The 21,808-nt window shown below is 43.5% G+C and overlaps 1 protein-coding gene across 11 annotated transcripts in view; it reads left to right on the top strand.

Moving 5' to 3' along the window:
* The first annotated feature begins 17,405 nt into the window (after window positions 1-17,405).
* Window positions 17,406-21,808, top strand: part of PLEKHS1 (pleckstrin homology domain containing S1) — a 31,748-nt gene continuing 27,345 nt past the window's right edge. For 7 of the 11 annotated variants that reach the window (NM_001395068.1, NM_024889.5, XM_005270163.3 and 4 more), the window contains exons 1-2: window positions 17,406-17,485; window positions 20,983-21,029. In NM_001395068.1, the coding sequence (NP_001381997.1) occupies window positions 21,002-21,029 (28 nt within the window). In that variant the 5' untranslated portion in view covers window positions 17,406-17,485; window positions 20,983-21,001. Of the gene's footprint in view, window positions 17,486-20,982; window positions 21,130-21,808 lie in introns of all 11 variants that reach the window. The other 4 variants (NM_001193434.2, NM_001193435.2, XM_011540175.2 and 1 more) reach the window with 1 other exon arrangement.

Consider the following 21,808-nt stretch of genomic DNA (forward strand, 5'->3'; position numbering starts at 1 on the left):
CAATTAGTATAGCATCAAACGTTTTAGCAGAGGTGCTTTTAACCATTCATGTTTAAAAATTAGGCTCTGAGTCTGATCCAAGTTCTAATCCTAACTCTGTCATTTAACCATTTAATACTCACATAACCCACATAACCTTAGGCAGTCCTTCAGTTTCCTCATCTACATATGAAGATGGTAATGTGAAAATTAATGAGATAATGTACATGAAATGCTTAGTACAATGCCTGGCACAAAGTTGTAACCGAAAGAGGATCTGGCTGCTCACCACTTACAGAAAGAAGCCAAAATAACAAGAACAAGGTGTGATCAAAGGAGAGTGAATTTTATTATCCAATGCCAACAAGGGGAAAAGGTCAGAATCCTTTCTGAAAATTGCCACCTTTTCAGTTTCTGGAGAGTGGGCAATGGTTTAAGAATAGAGGCTTGGAATACAGGGAGGGGGAGGGGCTCGGAGGTGCCAGGTGGCATGTTTCACTCCGATGGCTTATCTTAAATTATTGCTCCAACTGGCGAAGGGGCCAGCACCATCTTGGGCCCAACCAGCTTACAAATTAATTGCAGTCAATTGTGCAGTTAATGTCTCGCTGGGAGTGAACTCCGTCCTTGAAGTCATCTCCCGCTAGGGGGAGAGTTCCAGAGATGCCTCGTCCATGTCAGGATTCGGCCCCTGAAGCTTCTAAGGAAATACATGACCAGATAAGTGGGCATGGTGTGAGCTTAACAAGAATCTAGGTAAATAACTGTGCATAGGCATGGGAGCATAAGGTGGAAAAGGAAAGGAAAAAAGTTCTTAAAACAGTTTGAAACTAAGCTGCTCAGTTACAAAGTAATCGACAAGTAGTAGATATCAAAGATGATGGTGATGAATGATGATGATGACGATGACATGAGGCTCATGGAGGGGCAAGAACGGAAGATGCCCCCCTGGATGCCTCACTTGCTCTTTCTGCCTCCAGGTCTCTTCCTTAGTCATGCTTTTCAGTCTATGCTTTCAACCTGAGGTCTCCCAGAAGTGAAGGGATTAGATCAGCGACTGCTTTATTTAGCAAACATTCAGAGTCCTACTAGATGCCAGATGTCATATTAGGGATGGGGCTAGAAAGATGACCAAGAAAGGATGCTTATACCAAAGGAGGTGAACAAATCACTCTAGGGCTTAGTGGCTGTAACACAGTCATGTGTACATTACCCAGGAATACAGAGGGGGTGCATCCTGCCTGGGGATTCCAAGAGAGGTTCCAAAGGAACTGTTTTCATCATCTTCCATTCCAGCCTCCAAAAAAGGCTGAAGGGAAGGTGGTGGAGAGGAAATTAAGGTTAGCAGGTAGAAGATGGCCTGAGAATTCCTGGAAGATCGGTTTAGGAAGGAAATCACTATGTCCCACTGCATCCTCATTGCAAATCAATAGGTCTAGGGTGGAGACCAGGAATCTGCATGTTTAACCAACCTGCCTAGATATTCTGAGGCAGGTGGTCCTCAGACAACATGGATTATTCTGATACCAAAAGACTCCCTTGCAGATCTGCAGGAGTGGCAGCAAAGCCCAAATTAAACAGCTGGAAAAGATCACCCAGGGGCCAGCAGCGCATTGGCTGTTCAAAGACCTGGCTAGCCATCCTATCCCCAGATTGAATAGCAAAGGATTCAGGGCATAAATGAGTTCAGTACTGGAGCATTCTTGTCCAGAAACTTCCAGAGGCTGCACAGGAATGCCAAGCCCTTGTTGGCCAGGCAGGTTTGAGGAAGACTGTGAAGTGTGAGGGAGGGGTGGATCAGCAGACAGCTTTCACTGAATGGGTCCAGGTGCACTGACTTCTCCAGCTGGTGTCAGCAGGCACACGTCTTTCTCTTCCTCTCGATTGCATCACTTAGGCAATCATTTCTAGACAAGATGGGCCACTCATGTATTCCCTCTCCTCCAGTGCCTCATAGGTGCCACAATGCAAAATGCTCCCCTTAACAACATTTTGAGGTTGACATTTTTAAAGGAACTTTTCTCTACAGCACCTTTTGTAATTAACTAGATTAATGTTAAGTAGGGAAGGGAACACAGAATTCTCAAGTGAATGTGGTTTTTAAAAATATATTAGGATATAGGACCCATTCTCAACCGCTTAGGAAAATCAGCTTTTGCAAATTATCTTTTCTGAAGCTTCCAGCTGCCTTAAGTGCTGACAGTTTTTAAGCACTGAGATGAAAGAGACAAATTCTTTTTCTTTTGTGTTACTAATTACAATTTTGCTTGGCATAATGTAGCCTGCTTTCCTCTTGAGACATTTGCCAGCATACATTAATTGCACAAATATTTACAGAGGGCTAAAGCACAGGAGAAGCTTATACCAAAAAAGATACTGAACACTTGGAAAAAAGCCTCTTTGACACATATTTGTGGCCAGCTACCCAGAATCGTATAAACTATTTGCCCCTTAGCCTCAGCAAATGTGTTTAAAGAGCAAGTCCCTGGGTTGACTTAGTGTTGACTTTGCTGGCAATGACTGCTGAAATCTTTCTTCAAGAGCCTTGTGGTGACACTTTTTTTTTCAGGGTTAAAAATAAGGTTTCCAAGAATATGCATGCATCTTATGGGTTGCTATATTGTCAACACTTTTTATCTCTCTAGCCACCCACATGGAATGGAAAAGGTTTATCCAATGATTGTTCCAAACCCCAGGAGTTGCAGAAAGCCAAATTGAGCAAGTCTGGAAAACTTGAATGGCTAAGCCACAAGGTCCTCAATACCATCTTCTTGTTTTCCTAGCATGCTAATTAAGAAAAAAAAGGCCCTGGTGTCAGATAGCCCCAGGTTCAAATCCCAACTTCGGCACTTCCAAGCTATATGACCTTGAGGAGTCTCTTAATCTCTCCAAACCTTTCTTCTTTCATCCTCAAATAGAATTAGTCCTATGTGAGTACCTAGGAAATAATACCTACCTCCACAGGTCTTGTGCCCACCTCACAGGGATGTTAGGTGGAGCCAGGGAAATAACACACAGAAATGGCTTTGCAAAACTCCCCAAAAATCTAAAATCAAATAAGGAGACATTTCCTTTGTTGGATGTTGTTATGAAAACTAAGACATCAAGCAAAAGTCAAGTAAATGTTGGGTTGTGTTTTTTAAACCAGCTTGATCTTATCAATAATTGAGGCCACAGAAAGGAGATTAGGATGAAGAAAAGAAAAAAGGACATGCAAATGATGCTGACATACAGAAGAGGTTCTTTCTGAGGATAACGGCTACCCATGCAGTGGAGAGGAAGAACGTCTTCCAAAAGCGGATGTAGTCAAGCTGCTGGAGATCATAGGCAGGAAAGAGAAGGGCATAAGACGCTGGCCTGAGCTTTAGAAGAGGACACATTTCATATGTAGAGTTGCCATATGAAATAGAAGATGCCCAGTTAAATTGGAATTTCAGCTAGAACAACCATTTTTTAATATATATATCCCAAAATATTGCACAAAATATACTAAAAACTTATTTGTTATCTAAAATTTCAATTTAAATGGGTGTCCGGTGTGGGTGGGTTTTTTGTTGTTTTTTGTTTTGAGGCAGTCTAGCTCTGCTGCCCAGGCTGAAGCGCTGTGGCACAATCTCGGCTCACTGCAACCTCCACCTCCCGGGTTCAAACGATTCTCCTGCCTCAGCCTGCCCAACTAGCTGAGATTACAGGCGTGCACCACCATGCCTGGCTAGGGTTATTTTTTGTTGTATTTCTTTGTTTTCCTAAGTTTGGCAGCCCTAGCCTAACTCTGTAGACCATTGCTCTAGCTCCATTGCCTCATCTTAACCCTGAATGCCCACCTCACAGTGATGTTGGGAGGAGCCAGGGAAATAACACACAAAAATGGCTTTGCAAACTCCCAAAAAAATCTAAAATCAAGTAAGGAGACATTTCCTTTGGTGGGTGTTCTTATGAAAACTGAGTCATCAAGCAAAAGGCAAGTCTTTGTGAATTTAGGAAGTATGGAAAATTTCAAGGAGTCTATGGAGTTTAGTTTTTGTTTTTTTGTTTTGTTTTGTTTTGTTTTTGTTTTTGTTTTTGTTTTAGATAAAGTAGCCCAGCTCTGTAGCCCAGGCTGGAGTGCAATGGAGTGATTTTGGCTCACTGCAACCTCCACCTTCCGGATTCAAACGATTCTCCTGCCTCAGCCTCCCGAGTAGCTGGGATTACAGGCATGGGCCACCATGCCCGGCTAATTTTTGTAGTTTTAGTAGAGACGGGATTTCACCATGTTGGTCAGGCTGGTCTCGAACTCCTGACCTCAGGCGATCCACCTGCCTTGGCCTCCCAAAGTGCTGAGATTACAGGCATGAGTCACCATGTCCAACTAGTGGAGTTGATTCTTAAGAGGAGTTCTAAAGACTCTAATGAGAGGGACTAGATGTGATGACTGTCAACACTAGCAACACCTTAGAGTCACCTGGAGAGGTTTCCAATCTCAATGCCCAGGCAGCACCCCAGACCAACTAAATCAGGATCTCTCAGGCTGGCACCCGGGAAGCAGTGTTGTTAAACCTTTCCAGGAGATTCCCATTTGCAGCCAATCTTATCACCAGTGGTAGAATAGTCCCAAAAGGGTGAGTTGAACAGTTTAGAAACTTTAGAGTATAAGGAGAGTCCTAAGGGATATCTACACCCTTTATGAGACTGGTTATAAGAGGGGGAAGAGGAAAGAAAAAACAAAACAAAAAGCAGGAGAGAATTTGCAAAAAATAGATATATTCTATCAGCTTTTTCAAAAATGTAGTACCAAGGGCAAAAGAGCATGATCGTTTTAAAAACCAGGAAATTTGGGTATGTGCTAGAAATAGTTGATTAAGTAAGAATGCCAGGTAAGAATTTGCTATAATTAATCAACCAGCACTTAACAGTGTCCCACATACTCAACAGGGACAATGGTCCCTCTCATTTGAGAGCACAAAAAGATCCTTCAGTGATCGAAAGGGACTGTGTTGGAGGATTTGTACTTTCAATGAAATTACTGTTGGTTCACAATTTCTCTTCTAGCTTGACAGGACTTGTGGGAGCTGAAGACCAATTTCTCTTTCAGGCATAAAGATATAAGAGATGTGGGTGGCTCTGTAAAAATGCACAAATCCGTGTTCTAGGTAAACCACAGCTACGTGGGTAGTCACCACTTACCCTTAACTGTCCATGACATCCAAAAGGAAGTAATCATATAAATAACCATATGTGTGTGTGTGCGTGTGTTTCAATTAACAAATATTTATTGAACTATGTGCCAAGCACTGTTGTTGGCACTGAACAAAACAATCTTAGTCCTCGTAGGATTTATCTTTTAGTGGGGAAGACAGACAGTTCTAGAGAGAGTGACAGAGAGAGGAGTGTTATGAAGAAAGATAAAGTAGGAGAAGGAGCTCAGAAACAGTGACGTGGGAGAGAGGAGTCCATGTCAGACAGAGTGGCTGGGAAATGTCTCTTTGAGGAGAATACAGCTGGGCAGACACGGGAGTGGAGTGAGGGAGTGGACCACGTGACTGTGTGTAAGAGCTTGGTTCTTGGTGGAGCAAGCAGTGAATGCAAAGGCCCTGGGGCAGCTACAACCTGGGCCTCTTTGAGAAGCATCAGAAAAGCCAGGGTTTGCTGGTGGGAATGTAAACTAGTACAGCTGCTATGGAAAACAGTGTGGAGATTCTTTAAAGAACTAAAAGTAGAACTACCATTTGATCCAGCAATCCCACTACTGGGTATCTACCCAGAGGAAAATAAGTTATTATTCGAAAAAGATACTTGTGCACACATGTTTATAGCAGCACAATTCACAACTGCAAAATCGTGGAACCAACGCAAATCCCCATCAATCAACAAGTGGATAAAGAAACTGTGAGAAATATATATATGTGATGGAATACTACTCAGCTATAAAAAGGAATGAATTAACAGCATTTGCAGTGTCCTGGATTAGATTGGAGACTCTTATTCTAAGTGAAGTAACTCAGGAATGGAAAACCAAATATCATATGTTCTCACTGATATGTGGGAGCTAAGCTATGAGGACGCAAAGGCACAAGAATGATACAGTGGACTTTGGGGACTTGGGGGGAAGAGTGGGAGGGGGATGAGGGATAAAAGACAACATACATGGTGCAGTGTGTACTGCTCAGCTGACGGATGCACCAGGATCTCACAAATCACCACTAATGAACTTATGTAACCAAATACCTCCTGTACCCCAATAACTTATGGAAAAATAAAATAAAATAATAATTTTTTAAAAAGTATTGCAGAGCAGGGTGCTGGAAGCAGGGGCAAAAGGCAGGCAGGGCCAGATCAGTCAGGCTTTCAACTGTGGAAAGCACATTGGATTCCTTCTAATGAAACGGGAAACCACTGGAGGGATTGGAGCAGGGGAGTGACAGGATCTGATGTACAATTGTGAAAGACACTCTGGAGAATGGATTAGCGGGAGAATGAGTGGAGCAGGGAGCGAGGTGGGAGGCTGCTGCAGTCATGACCTAGGTGGAAATGATGGCAGGTGGAATGGGTCATGAGAAGGCATCCGATTTGGGCGTGGCCTTTAAAAAAAAAAACACTTTATTGAGGTATGATTGATATGCAAAAAGCTGTGCATATATAATATATACAACTCAGTGAGTTTGGGGATAAGTATACACCTACTGAGGAAGAGCCAGTAGGATTTGCTGACAAATTTGAGGTGGGAATGTGAGGAAAGGCTAGAAATCATTAGCTGGGTGTGGTGGCACAAGCCTGTAGTCCCAGCTACTTGTAAGGCTGAGGCATGAGAACCACTTGAACCCAGGAGGCGGAGGTTGCGGTGAGCCAAGCTCGAGCCACTGCACTCCAGCCTGGATGACAGAGCAAGACTCCATCTCAAAACAAAACAAAAACAGGCTGGAAATCCAGGATGACCTCAAGGCTTATGGCTTAAGCAGGTGGAAGACATGGGGCTGTTTCCTGAGATTGGGAACAGCTTTGATGCAAGAGGTAAGAATGACGAAAATCAAAGTTTGTTTTATGCAAGCTGTTCAAGATACCTGCTAGATATCTGTGGTAGACTCTTCCATTAACCCACCCAATATCCACTCTCTCTGTATTAGTTTCCAATTGCTACTGTAAGAGACTATCACAAATTTAGTGACTTAAAACAATACAAATTGATTCTCTTTGAGTTATTGAAGTCAGAAGTTTAAAATCAAGATGTCAGCATGGCTGGGTACAGTGGCTCACACCTGTAATCCCAGTATTTTGGGAGGCCAAAGCAGGAGGATAGCTTGAACTCAGGAGTTCAAGACCAGCCTGGGCAACATAGTGAAACCTTTTGTATTTCTAAAAAAAATACAAAAAGTAGCCAGGCATGGTGGCATGCACCTGTAGTCCCAGTTACTCGGGAGGCTCAGGTGGGAAGATGGCTTGAGCCCCAGAGGTTCAGGCTGCAGTGAGCCAAGATCATACCACAGCACTCCAGCCTGGACAATAGAGTGAGACCCTGTCTCAAAAAAAAAAAAGACGGGGCACAGTGACTCACGCCTGTAATCCCAGCATTTTGGGAGGCCAAGGCGGGTGGATCGCCTGAGGTCAGAAGTTCAAGACCAGCCTGGTCAACATGATGAAACCCTGTCACTACTAAAAATACAAAAATTAGCTGGGCATGGTAGCGAGCACGTGTAATCCCAGCTACTCAGGAGGCTGAGGCATGAGAATTGCTTGACCTGGGAGGCAGAGGTTGCAGTGAGCCGAGATCACACCACTGCACTCCAGCCTGGGTGACAGAGCAAGACTTGTCTCAAAAAAAAAAAAAAAAAAAATCAAGATGTCCACAGAGCTGGTTCCTTCTGTAGGCTCTAGAAAAGAATACATTTTCCTTTCCTTTTCCAGTTTCTAGAACCTGCCCACATTCCTTGGCTCCTGGCCCCTTCTCCTACCTTCAGAGCCATCAGAATAGCATTTCCCCCCACCCTCTGGCCTTCCCCCTCCCTCTTGTAAGGACCCTTGTGATTATGCCGGGCCTGCCTTGAGGTTACAGGCATCCCCATTCTACCTGAACCAGTTTCATTTTCCCATCCCAAGATTCTAAGCTTCATTTGCAAAGTCTGTTTTGCCATGTAAGGCAACTGAGTTCAGAATAGCAATGTACTCAACTAAAATCACATTTTACACATCTATTTGCAAGTAGAGATGACAAGAGCACCTTCCCAAGAAGACTGTAGCAGATGCTGATGGTGGCTGCCCATATCTCCTCATACTAATCATGTCAGTGCACTGGCCTTTTCTCAACTGCCAGAATCCATGTGTTTTTGCCCCAAGGATTCCTCTGGTCCCTTGAGCCCACTTTGCTACATGTATGACAGGCTAGAAATGCCAATAAATTAATGTTCTCTGATGACTGGCACGGTTGGTATGTAAATACCCCAGCTCCCTCCCCACTGTATAGAATAACACTGAGGCAGGTGTTTTCCACCAGCTCCCAGAGTTTCCCAGTGCGATTCAACTCCTGTTACCCTCAGGGATAACATACCTGACATAAAAGCTTTCATCAGCTGGCTTCCCTTCTTGGTTGTAAAACAGGGAAAATAATATCCATACTGCCTGTCTGACAAGGTTTTTATATGAGCAGAAGACGCTGTCCAAATGCTTGGTAAATGCTAAACTGTAGAATCAATTACAGTGGTGTTATTATGAAACTATGAGGTCTGTTAGGTACCTGAAGATCATCTGGTCAACCCCCATACCCTTAAGAAGAAGAAAGGGGACAGACTTGAGGTCTTCAGTGAGTTGAAGCAGAGCAGAAGCATAAACTCAGGGTCCTAATTCTTGGTCTCCTGGGCTTTAACTCCATCATGATGTTTATTATCAGATTCTCTCTTAAATGATTTTGATCTTCCTGAAACCTCTATTTACTCATATGAAACATGGAAAGAATTACCTGACACCCACATTGTCACTACATAAAGTATTTGGAGAGTCTTCACACTCCGAGAGGAGCCCAGCCCCTCTCTTTACAGGTGGGACTCATGAACAAGTTCAGTTGTAAAGTACAGACACGAGGCCCTTCATTTATTGGACAAGCACTTATAATGTGTTTTCTCTATGTCAAACACTGCTCTAAGTTCTTTACAAGTATAAGTTCATTTAATTCTCATTACATCTCTATCAAGTATACTATCATTCTCATTTTATAGACAAGGAAACTGAGGCATAGAGAGGTTGAGTAGCTTCTCCAAATCACGGAACATAGCAATGGACCCAGGAAGTCTGACTCTATGCTAGTACATACTATGTTATATTGAATCACCTTCCTTTTTCTTATATTTTCTCTGCCTCCAAACTCCCTCCCCTCATCTTCACCCTTGGACCAATTACCTAATGTCCAAATCATAATAGCTCTCAATCAAGATGTTTTACATTTCACAAAACAATTTAATGAAAACTGACTTAAACAGTTAGGACATTTTTAGTTTCCCATAATGAGAAAGTGCAGAGGAAGTATGGAATTCAAGCACAGTTTGGTCCAGAGTTTGCCAAGTCATCCTGACTGCTGCTCTGTATCTCTGTGACTTTCAGTTTTGCCCTTGTCCTGTGTCATCTTCATTGCAAGGCTAGCTTCCCTCAAGGAAGCAAAATGCTCTCCCATCCCCATGGCCCTGCCAAGAGAAAGAGAGGGATCCTTTGACCCAGTTTCCCTCTTAGGCTCCCTCTGCCTCTGAACCATGACTGGGCCATTGCTGGGGTCAAGAGTGTGTCTGCTGTCCACGAGTTACATGGGTACCCAGGGCAATTGAGACATGGAGGGGTGGGGGGCATTAAATGGAAACTGTTGGCCACACCAGCCTGTAGGACCCAGCCAAGACACCATCTTCTCCATGAGATCTCCCTCTGTCTCTTTCTCTTCCTGCTTTGGGAGAATGGCTCTCTTCTCTGAATCCCATGCTCTTGCTCTGCCTTGCCCTGACAGCACTGGCCACTTAATATCCTCATATTATACTCCTTCTGGATTATCTCCACTTGCCCCTCCAGAGTCCCTCTCCACTCTCTTCCACCATTTGTTGCCGTGAGGGTCCTCAACAGATGGGCCATTTCTCTAGTTAACCTGCTCCAATCAGACTTTTGCTCCACACCACTCACCAAATGGTTCTCGCCAAAGCCGCAATTGTCCTTACCCTACCAAATCCATCTCACCCTTCCTCTTGGCAGCATGTGAGGTGGCTGCCCCCCACCCACCCAAACCTTGTCTCTACTGCTAGACGCCACACACTCCTGGTTTTTCACATGCTCCTCTGAATGCTTCTTGTTAATCTCCTCTGCTGGCTTCTTCCCATCCTACCCCACCCCAGCCCCCCTGCTCCCTCCATGCTGTGCCATGGTCTGGACAAGTAACCATATATCTTGACTACGGCCACTACCCCTATAGTGTAGGTTTATCTCATGACTTCAGCTTTCATCAAAATTGGGTAATACTTCTCCCTCCTTTCATCCCTGCAAGCCTAGAGGAGGTGAAGTCTTCCCACTCTTGCTACACCACCATCCCACCACCATTTCTTGCTGCTCCTTTAACCCTGCCTCCACCTCTGCAGACAGACCCTGCAATAACTCTCTTCAATAAATCCTTTGAGCATGCTGTTTCCTGCTGGGACCCTGACTGACACATTATTTCTGTACAGATTTATCTGCCATATTAGTTTATAAGGTCCCTAAGAGCAAAGTCTATGTTTAATTCTTTTTTCAAAATTCCCAACTGTGCCTGTTATGCAAGTGGTACCAATAAATGCTGAAAGGAAATATTCTTTCTTATTAACTGCCTTCAACTTAAATAGAAGGTGAAAGGAATGAAAACGTTTTAAAAATATATACATCTCTTGGAACAATAAACGTTTAGAAGTTGAGTTCAGAAGAATAAAAAACTTTAGAAGAATAAAACACGATGCTAAGTGGGATGTGTGGTCTGATTTCATGGGCTTTACCTGATTCTTCAAATTCATGATTCATACAGAATCCATATGGAATATGTTCTTTCTTCTCCAGGTCCCAGAAATGAAATAGGGTTGCTTCTGTTATGATAGCAGTTGAAGTGCCAAAAAAAAAAAAAAAAAATTGGGCTGCTCCTAGATCCAGAGCAGCAGGGAAGCTCTATCACTGACCAACAGGAGTTCTAGGAAACATAGGGTTCCAGGGTTACACCACACCCTACAGATGTGATGGGCTGGTGGGAAAGAGGCCACTGCACAGGACCATCAATTTGGGGGTTTCCTTCCTACTCCACTTTTTCTTCGACTGCACTGCCACCCCTTCCTTACCAACACTGACCCTTTTGGCCCAGTGCCAAGCAAGTTGGACCTACTAAGATTCAGGGCCATAATGGGAAAGAAAGGAAAGAAAAAAGAGGAAGAACTCATCATCCCTCCCTCTGCCCCAGTGGTGGTCTCATTGGCTGACTCCCAGTCCGAAATCTTTGGGCCATCCTCTATCACCTGTATACATTCCCTAATCCCCAGAAACTGGACCCAGGTGTTCTCTTTAAATAAGGAAGATTCTGACTTCAATCTTCTGTGGATCTCGAAGTCCTCTTTTGGCATCTACATCTGCTTTTGCTCTAACAAATGAATCTAAATACAAAAATAGACACTGGTATGTGTGTGTATTGGGGGAAGCAGGTAGAGTTAATTACCTTTATTCCGTTTCTCATGTTTTTAAAATGTTTAGAGAACTTTAAAAGGACTTTGCTCCATCAACTGGACAACCATGTGGATGGCCAAACACTTTAGCCCCTCAGTTCCTTGACCTCCTCGTCACCAATGACCTTCTACGCTACATAGCTAAGCTACCTGCGCCTTGCAATTTCTCTATTTTAAGATCGATCAAGCATATTCTCTCCAAGCACTACTTCCTATCCTTCAGTCAGCTTGTACCATCTGTCTTTGACGGCACATCTCACCAGGAATCACTACCCAGGATGCCCGTCCCCAAGAATCTCCTCCTATCTCCTTTATCTCTTTATCTCCTTAGTTATTTCCTCCTTATGACCCTCTGATTCCATGAGTCAACATTTTGAGCATTCTTCAGCAAGTATGCTAAACTCCCTTGCTGCCTTCCTTCTGTGGCATTTTCCTAGCAAAAATGCTAAGCTGAAATGAACCCCAGGCCCTGGCTCCCCCATGCCTGCTCCTGAACAGCTGAAGGCCACTGGAGGAAATCACACATCAGGACTCTTGCCAAATTTACGGTCACCAACCTCAATGGACCCACACTATTTCCAGCATTGAGAAATACTTGCAAAGTAAGGAAATACAGTATCTAAGGAAGGAACTCTGGGGACTCCAAAAAGTAAAGATTGCATGCTGGTAGAAAACCCAGCAAACAAAACAAAGAAATAGATCAGTATAGTGAGAACCAAGTGAGAGAGTAACTTGGAAGCAAAGAGAAGAGAAAATTTCAGCAAGGGTTGGCTCGCTGCCATTGCCTCTTCTGAGCAAAGTTCTTTGTGTCAGGCCTCTCCCTGGGTCAAAAGCCAGCCAATAGAGGGGCAGTCCTAGGGTAAGGTGCTCACCCTGATCCCATCAGTAGTTATTCTTGTGCAAAGTTCAACCCAGCTTATTTCCTTTTGCAGGCAGTTGAGAGAGTGGCAGTTTCAGCTGCTAATGGACACTGATCTCAGCAGACATACTGAAAGAACGAGGAAGGGTCCAGAATCTTGAGGTCTTGGAGAGGCTGAAGTGAAGAAATGTAAAGCATAGAAGGAAGGGAGATTGCAGTTGGAAAGTGGAGCACCCCAGTCAAAGTTATCGAAGTTCATGCAAGAATGGGTAGTTCCAAGGTCCAGAGTGTAATCATAAGAATTGAACAATGAGAACACTTGGACACAGGGTGGGGAACATCACACACCAGGGCCTGTCGTGGGGTGGGGGGAGGGGGGAGGGATAGCATTAGGAGAAATACCTAATGTAAATGATGAGTTAACAGGTGCAGCACACCAACATGGCACATGCATACATATGTAACAAAACTGCACATTGTGCACATGTACCCTAGAACTTAAAGTATAAAAAAATGAAATTAAATTTAAAAAGTGAGGTACAACAGTGAAGTAGGAGGGATTACCAATGGAGTATTAAAGTTAGTTTTCTCTGGATCTCCCTGGTCAAATTATGAGCTCTCAAAAAACACTAATCTTTCCATTTTTCTATTATCTATAACATCTGGCATATAGTAGGCACACTGTAAATAAATAAAGAATGGATAGGCATTTAAGCTAGCTACTGGGGATACACTGGTCAGAAGAAACAGACACAGTACTAATGGATTATACAGTCTTGTGGAGGAAGAGACAGACATTAACCAAATAATCAGACAAATGCATCTAAAATTACAAATGGCAAAATGTGTACTGAGGTTAACATTGCACCATGATAATGTGTCATAAAGAATCTGGCCTTGTCTGGGGAGAGAAGGAATCACTGAGAAGTGATGTTGGAGTGAGAGCTGAAGGATGTGTAGTAGTTAGCCAGTGGAAGAAACAGGAGAAGAGTGGGCCAGAGAGAGGGAGCAGCATGTACAAAGGCCAAGGTGCTTAGCGTGCAGAGACCAGGAGTAAGAGTTCTTGGAAACAATCTTGAGGGGAGGCAGGGGACGATGGAGGGAGAGAGGGATGATAATGTCTGTAACAGTCATGGTCCATCTTCTTGGCTAGCAGAACCCCAATTTTGTTCAGACGGCAAGGGAAATTATCATGATTGATGCAAGCCAATGAAATCTCATTTCCTCTTGGCCAATGACTGGTCTTCTTGAGGTAATAGCTGACCAATCCAATCAGATGTAAGAGAAAGTCTTATTCAGGCCTTGTAGGAGGAATTTTTCTCCCTGAAGTGAAAAGCACATAAGGAGAATGCTCATTTTCCCCCAACACTTCCCTGCTGCTTGAGATAGTGTGTTGTGGAAACATGATGCTTATGGCAGCCAACTTCTGACCATATGGAAAAGGCCAAGAAAATCAGACACATAACCTTAGTTCTAACATCACTGAATCGTCAAAATAAGTCTGGAAATGCTTCACTCCAGACTTCTTGCATGATGTATGATAAATAAATTATAAGCCACTATTGTTGAGTTTTGGGTTTTTTTAAGAGCCAAAAGCAATCCTAACTATAGAGCAATTTCCAAAATCAGTCATGGAAGAGAACCATATAAAATTATACAAAATGCTTTATATCATCAGTTCCTTTCTCTTTACAAACATCAGATGATTCAGACTACTACCAAACAGATGATAGAAAATAGGTCTTGGTTTGATACCATTTTTAATATAATCTAAAAGATACCTTTGTTATTACTTTGTTCTGTGTACAGCTTTCTCCTTGCTTTCCTTGAATTCTTTGTTCCAGAGAAGAGGTATAGTAAGGATGCTTTGAAGTGATGTCATTGATGTCACTCCTTTACCGGTGTCACTGACAAAGACACATTTACTATCCACATGGACAATGAGCACGCAGCATGGAGTGAAATGGCCTGCACGCTAATAAGCCCTTGACTTTGATTCAAAGGCATAATCATAATCAGAGATGAATGGGTACTTAGAGCTCTTTGGGGAAGGACAGTAATGGGATTATGAGGCCCAATATCTGGCAATCTACGCAATGTCACACAGTCAGAGTAGGCCGAGACCCGAGGCCAACTGATCTCAGCCCAGGACTCACATAGTGTAGCATATGAAAGAACACACACAGGCTTCGGAGTCAAGACAGACCAGTCTGATTTCTGTGTGTCACTTACTAGCTGCATGATCCTTAGCTAGTTATTTAATCTCTCTAAATTTAAATTTCCTCTTTTAAAATTAGGATTAATAGATTTTATCCTGCAACAAGGTAGAATTAAATGAGATATTCTATGTAAAACAAAAATCCCCAATAAGTAGTAGGTATTGCCATGCCATATAAACTGTTCGGTTGTGTTTTGGTTAAGAGGCAGCAGAACTCAAGAGCATCTTCATGACAGGAAAGCGCAATTAACAAAGTCATGGAATAACTCATCTGATATTTCAGATGAACAGGCGATTGCTTTTTGTGACAGGTAATTGATACCTTGTTTACAGGTCATTGGAAACAACTTTTAAAAACCTATGCTTGGCCGGGCGCGGTGGCTCACGCCTGTAATCCCAGCACTTTGGGAGGCCGAGGCGGGCGGATCACGAGGTCAGGAGATCGAGACCATCCTGGCTAACACGGTGAAACCCCGTCTCTGCTAAAAATACAAAAAATTAGCCGGGCGTGGTAGCGGGCGCCTGTAGTCCCAGCTACTCGGGAGGCTGAGGCAGGAGAATGGCGTGAACCCGGGAGGCGGAGCTTGCAGTGAGCCGAGATCGCGCCACTGCACTCCAGCCTGGGCGACAGAGCTAGACTCCGTCTCAAAAAAAAAAAAAAAAAAAAAAAACCTATGCTTGTGTTTCATAGGTATGTTTGTTTTGCAAGTTTAGTATTTGGTGTCTGTGCCAGTTTTTGTTTGCTTTTCAGTTTATATTTCATGGGTTTATCTACAGTACAAATAGCTTTGTTAGGCTTCTTCCTCCAAAGAGTTTTGTAATACTATTGGAAAAATAATACAAAAAAGCCTAGAATAGGGTGGGTTGGATGGGTGGGTAGGTGGAGGGACAGACAGATGAACAGGTTGCTGATGGAAAGCACATCTAACTGTTTCATCGGTATCCTTTCCAAAGGAACACAAGTCTTACAGTAATTTTCCCTCTTCCCCTTTTTGGTTAGGTCTCTATATTATAACAATAGGCTGTCTGGACTTTATAGTTCCCAAGTAAGTGGAAATCAGCACAAGCTTTTTATGAACTACTTAGAGCTACAACTGGTATCTGATTAAAATTCTAATGTAAAGACATTAAGACTATCTCCAGAATTATCAAAAGTTAGCCCAAAAGAACATCCAGGAAATTCTGTTAGGTCTATCTCTGTCTTGTTATAAAGAAATACCTGAGATTTGATAATTTATAAAGAAAAGAGGTTTAATTGGCCCATGGTTCTGCAAGCTGTACAGGAAGCATAGTCCTGGCATCTCTCAGCTTCTGAGAAGACCTCAGGGGGCTTTCTTTTACGCATGGTGGAAGGTGAGGCGGGAGTAGCCATGTCACCTGGTGGGAGTGGGAGCAGTAGAGTTGGGGGAGATGCCACACACTTTTAAATAAAGACCTCAGTACAACTCACTATCTCAGACACAGAACCAAGCCATGAGGGATCCACCCCCAGGACCCAACACCTCCAGCCAGACTCCACCTCCATCACTGGGGATTACATCTCAACATGAGATTTGGAGGGGACATCCAAACTATATCAAAATTAAGAAATTGTTTTTCCTAAATCAAGCAAAACTGGTCCTGTGCAGGAAGCAAACAATATATCAATAATTTCTGTATGCCTGAAGTCCAGCTAGGTTTGCTAAATGAAGAAACCAATAACATCTACCCTCCATAGGATGCAAAAGAGAAAAACAAAGAAATACCCTCTGTTGAATGCTAACTGTGGATAAAGCACTGTGCTAGATGCTTTTTATATGTGAAATTTTACTTAACTTTAAAAAAAAATCCTGTGAAGTCAGTATTATCTGTTCCATTTTGCAGATGAGGAAACAGACTCAGAGAACTCCAGTTAACTTGCCAAGACCACACAATGGATCCATGGCAGAGCTGATTCCAGACCAGCTACCCTCGTGAGGATGAGGATTCAAATGATGTACTTTTACTTCTAAAGGCAGTAGAACAGGATAAAATTCATCATCACTTCTTCCTCTCCCCTAGAAATCTGTAATACACATGAAAATATACCTAAGACCCTTTGGTGGCTGGATACCACTCACCAGGTCTAAGAATGATGGTTTGCTCAATTGCTGTTGGTGGCTGTGCAGGGGAACATGCCTAGCGCCACCCTGTTGATGGTAACACTCTGTCATGGCTGAATGAGCAACTCTTCCTGGAAACCATTGGCATGTACAAGTGTTTAGAGAAGCCAGGCTTTTGTTTCCTCATCTGGTACAAAGGAACCCTTTCTACCCTTCCCAGGAAGACATTGGTTAAGATATGGCTGAGGGAGGCATAGGGATTTTTTTTCAATGGTAGTCACCACAGACGGTTGAGGGTAAATTGGCGTTGTTCTCAATAAGGGTTATTGTGACCATGGTCCAAAGTCTGGCAGGAATTTTTTTTTATTATTAATGTGTTTGCTTTCATTTTTGGTGCTAGGCAGCTGGGACACCAAGGAGAGTTCTGTGGCAAGCCACAAGTATGAAGGCCCAGAACTTCCCCTGAGGGCATAGCTTCCATTTCAGTTTGGGGCAAGAATAAAATCTGCTCAAGGATATTAGTTTGGGAACTTCCTGGTGGTTCAGATTTCAAGCAGAGTTTGTGCTTAATCCTCACCCAGGCACCAAGGCTCAGAGTCAGCAGGAGTGAGTTCAGGAATCCTCGGGACAAGGCACTTTCCTGAGCACTGGACCAGCGACCTCTTGGCTTCCAGTAAGTACTGCTTGGTGTATCTGGTTTGGACTTCCAAGGCTGGGATGATCTAGAAGCTTTTTTGCAATTGAACAATTGCAAAATTGGAAATGGAAAATTTTGCAGATATGCTGTATTTCTGTTATGGGCACTTTCTTCATAAGCTTCCTAGGCTATACTATAGTCAGAGGGAAATAGGACTGACCTCTTGGTATACTGTATTCACCAAATCCAAAATAATGTTATAATAAATGGGTCAGGCAGTGACTGTGGGGAGATTCTCCTGAATGAGATCAAACAGCTAAATCAGAAAGGCTTTCTTTTTTGTTTGGGGGCAATGACAAGAAAAACAAGCAGAACTATGAAAAGACTTAATTCTACTTTCTTAGATAGGAGGAAAAGCAAAGTAGTTAAGGCCAGCTCTCAAGCTAGAATTCTGGTTCTGCTTCTTTTTAATTACATGATCAAAGTAAAGTTGTTTAATCTCTCCGATAACCATTTCCTCGTCTGTAAATGGGCATTGTATCATTGTGAAAACAGTGCAAGCTTTAGAGTACGGTTATGAGGTTAGGATGAGATTTTATATGTATATGTGAAATTATATGTATACATATACATAAAATCTTTCATATACATATTGCTTAGAAGTGCCTGGAATGTATTAAGTACTCAAAAAATGCTACCCATTATTAAACAACCATAGAATCATAGAATATCTGAGCTGGAAAGGACCTAACAACTAGCATTTATTGAGCTTCTATTATGTACTGAGGAGTGCTCATCAACAGGGTATCTCAAGTGATACTCCCAGCAATCTGATGAGGGTAGTAATAACCTTCATGTTACAGATGAAGAAATGGAGGTGTAGAGAAGTATTATAAAGTATCCAAGATCACATTCCTCATAATTCATGGAGATGAAATTTAAACCCAGATGCCAGAGCTAACACTCTAAACCACCACACCCTACTGCCTTATCTGTCCTCTCATTTTACGGTGGGTGGGGAGATGAAGGAGGAATGGTTGCAGCACATGACTCTGGAGCCCTTTGCAGACACTGGAAGGACAGAGATGTCCTCCAAAGCACACTTTGACATCCACAGGGCACAGGGAGGGCAAATGTTATTTGGGAGTGTCCATGAGCATGAATGTGGTGCTGTGTGGAGTTCTGCCAGGGGACCTAGGTCCAAGTCATCTCAGTCTTCTCTCAAATGCAGCTTTTCATTTGTAAAATGAGCTATCTCAGAATGAAGCCATTCTGAACACAAAAAAATAATGTATGCAAATGCATTTTATAAACTTTAAAGGCTTTAGAAATATTTTTTAAAATGATTTTTTGGCTTTTTGACAAACAGCAGCTCAAAAACAGCTTGCAGTAAACACTGCTTTAAAATATGCCACCCACAGCTAATCTCTCCTGCACATTTCTCCGATTGGATCCTTGAGGGCCATCACTCATTAGGCTAACAGCTGCATAGGGGGCGTGGCCAAGTCCTATAAACATGGACAGAGGGAAAGGTGATGGGTTGAAAACCGCTTGTCCCCAGCTCTTCAGGCAGTGAAATCCTTGAAACTGGAAAGAACCTCATGGATTTGATAAGAAATCTCAGGGATAATTTTTTAAATATTATCCATGCATTTTGGGGAGTGGGCAAGGTTTTGAAGAGGTTACGTTCTCTTTCTCACACAGAATTGCTCTTCCAGGAAACAACAGCCTTCGGCCTCAATAGCTTGGCATCTTTCCCAGGCATTATAGCTCATTGCACAGAGCTGAGTGTGCCCGCTACAGCAGGCGAGGGCTAAGGGCACCGGTTCTTCAACATATGCCTTCAGATGCCCGAGAAAAGTTGTAATTTGTTCAAATGATCACTACTGTGATTATACAGGATACCTCAAGGGAGAAAATCTTTCCCTAGGGGCAGGGTAGGTATGATTCCAGGGTCCAGGAAAGCCATCCCACTGGTCTTCAAAGAGCTTCCAAATGCTCTGACAAACCACCAAAAGCATATCTTAGAACTTGTCTTAATCTTAGGATTTTCATCTCTGAACACATATATATATATATTTGTATTATATATTTTTTTTATTTGAGATGGAGTCTTGCTCTATCACGCAGGCTGGAGTGCAGTAATGTGATCTCGGCTCACTACCTCTGCCTTCTGGGTTCATGTGATTCTTCTGCCTCAGCCTCCCAAGTAGCTGGGATTACAGGTGCCCGCCACCACGCTCGGCCAATTTTTGTACTTTTAGTAGAGATGGGGTTTTGCCATGTTGGCCAGGCTGGTCTGGAATTCCTGACCTCAAACAATCCGCCCACCTCAACCTCCCAAAGTACTGGGATTACAGGCATGAGCCACTGCACCCAGCCTGAATATATGTATTTTTTCATCTCTGTATATGCATATACACACACGTAATTAAAGAATTGCTGTAAGTCATCTACATGTTAGGAAGGAAGAATGAGTTTATGTTGAAGAAAGGGAGAGGTCAGGAGGGTCAAGGGCCTCTGCTTCCTCCCCCATCTTACTTGGGGCTGCTTGGGCACCTCCCTTTTCAGGGCCTTCTATTTTGAGAGTCTTACTAACTTAAGGTAAAAGTTAGTCATACCAAATTTGTGGTTTCAAAGACCTCACTTGCCCTGCAGCCCTTCCCCTGAGGGAGTCCCTTCTCTCCATCCTATGATGGTCATAGGATCGCCAGCAGCTGGCCAGGAAAGGATGCTGCCTCTCAGATTCAGTTTCTCCAGGTTATCCTCAGGAGTCTTGCTCTGTCGCCCAGGCTGGAGTGCAGTGGAGTGATCTCGGCTCACTGCAACCTCCGCCTCCCGGGTTCAAGCGACTCTCCTACCTCAGCCTCCTGAGGGATTACAGGCGAGCACTAGGATTACAGGTGCCCACCACCACACCCGGCTAATTTTTGTATTTTTAGTAGAGATGGGGTTTCACCATGTTGGTCAGGCTGGTCTCGAACTCCTGACCTCATGATCTACCCGCCTCAGCCTCCCAAAGTGCTGGGATTACAGGCATGAGCCACCGTGCCTGGCGGTCCTTGTTCTTAAGTTTCCCCTGGAGAAAGCAAGCCCCTGGGCATGGAGAAAGGCTTATCTTGGGCTTCCTCTCAGCCAGTGATGCTTTCTCGGCTACGTTGGCTCCATGGCATCCTGCCCTTTGCCCTGTTCTTATCTCTCCTTTGTGTTGCCATCCGCCAGCTCTCTTATCAAAGCAGTAAGAACAGAGAAAATCCCAGGAAGACAAGCTCCTTCAGTCTTCTCAACAACACCTCCGCAGAACCACCCACTGTGTGAGGACAAGCTGCTTAGATGTGTCCCCGTTACTGCAGCTACCGTCAGCCTCAGGAACAGGGAGGGAAATACTAAAGAAAGGATGGGAATGGGAGACTCACAACCCATCTCAGCAACATTCGTGAGCACAATCCTGATACTCACTGACCAGCGGTGGCTGGTCAATGAAACACACGTAGTGTTGTTTGGGGACTAACACTAACCCTTCCTTTTGACAGGGGAGGACACACAGCCATCATGGAACCCAAACCTCAGAAGAGTCCAGGTACCCGAGGGGTATAATCGCAGAAGCAGAAATCTTTTTATTGAAAATGCCCCACGGTTTCCTTCAAGCTAACCAGGATACAGAACTTGGTGGTTTTTGTGTATGTTGTTTTGTTTTGTTTTGTTTGAGACAGTCTTGCTCTGTTGCGTAGGCTGGAGTACAGTGGCACGATCTAAGCTCACTGCAACCTGCCAGCTCAAGTGATCCTCTAACCTCAGCCTCCCGAGGAGCTGGCACTACAGGCATATGCCACCATGCCTGCCTAATTTTCGTATTTTTAGTAGAGACGGGGTTTCTCCATGTTGGTCAGGCTGGTCTCAAACTCCCGGCCTAGGTGATTCCCCACCTCTCAGCCTCCCAAAGTGCTGAGATTACAGGCATAAGCCACCATGTACAGCCCCAGAACCCAGGTGGGGATAATGGGTGGCATTCTGTGACAATGATTCTTGGTTTGGAGAATGTAGCAGGAACTGTTGGATTCAATTAATTATTGTGTAAGAGTTTACCTGTCTAGAAGTTTAGCATTTTCTGATTTTCATGAGCCAAATTTTCCATTCATTGCCCAAAGATGATGTTAATAGCAAACTATGGGCCAGCAAAGACTGGAGAACATTTTCTTAATTTTACGTGAAACTCACACTTAGAGAAGTGCCTGCATTGTCACCAGGGCTTATTATGAGGGTAGCTCAATGTATGGTATCAAGTATCCTTGCTCTTATTCATACACTTCTTTGTAGATGAGTGGATAGAAAAGCTAAGTTTAGGATGAAGTCACTTAG

The sequence above is a fragment of the Homo sapiens genome, chromosome 10 (assembly GCF_000001405.40).
Source record: "Homo sapiens chromosome 10, GRCh38.p14 Primary Assembly".
Taxonomy (NCBI): domain Eukaryota; kingdom Metazoa; phylum Chordata; class Mammalia; order Primates; family Hominidae; genus Homo; species Homo sapiens.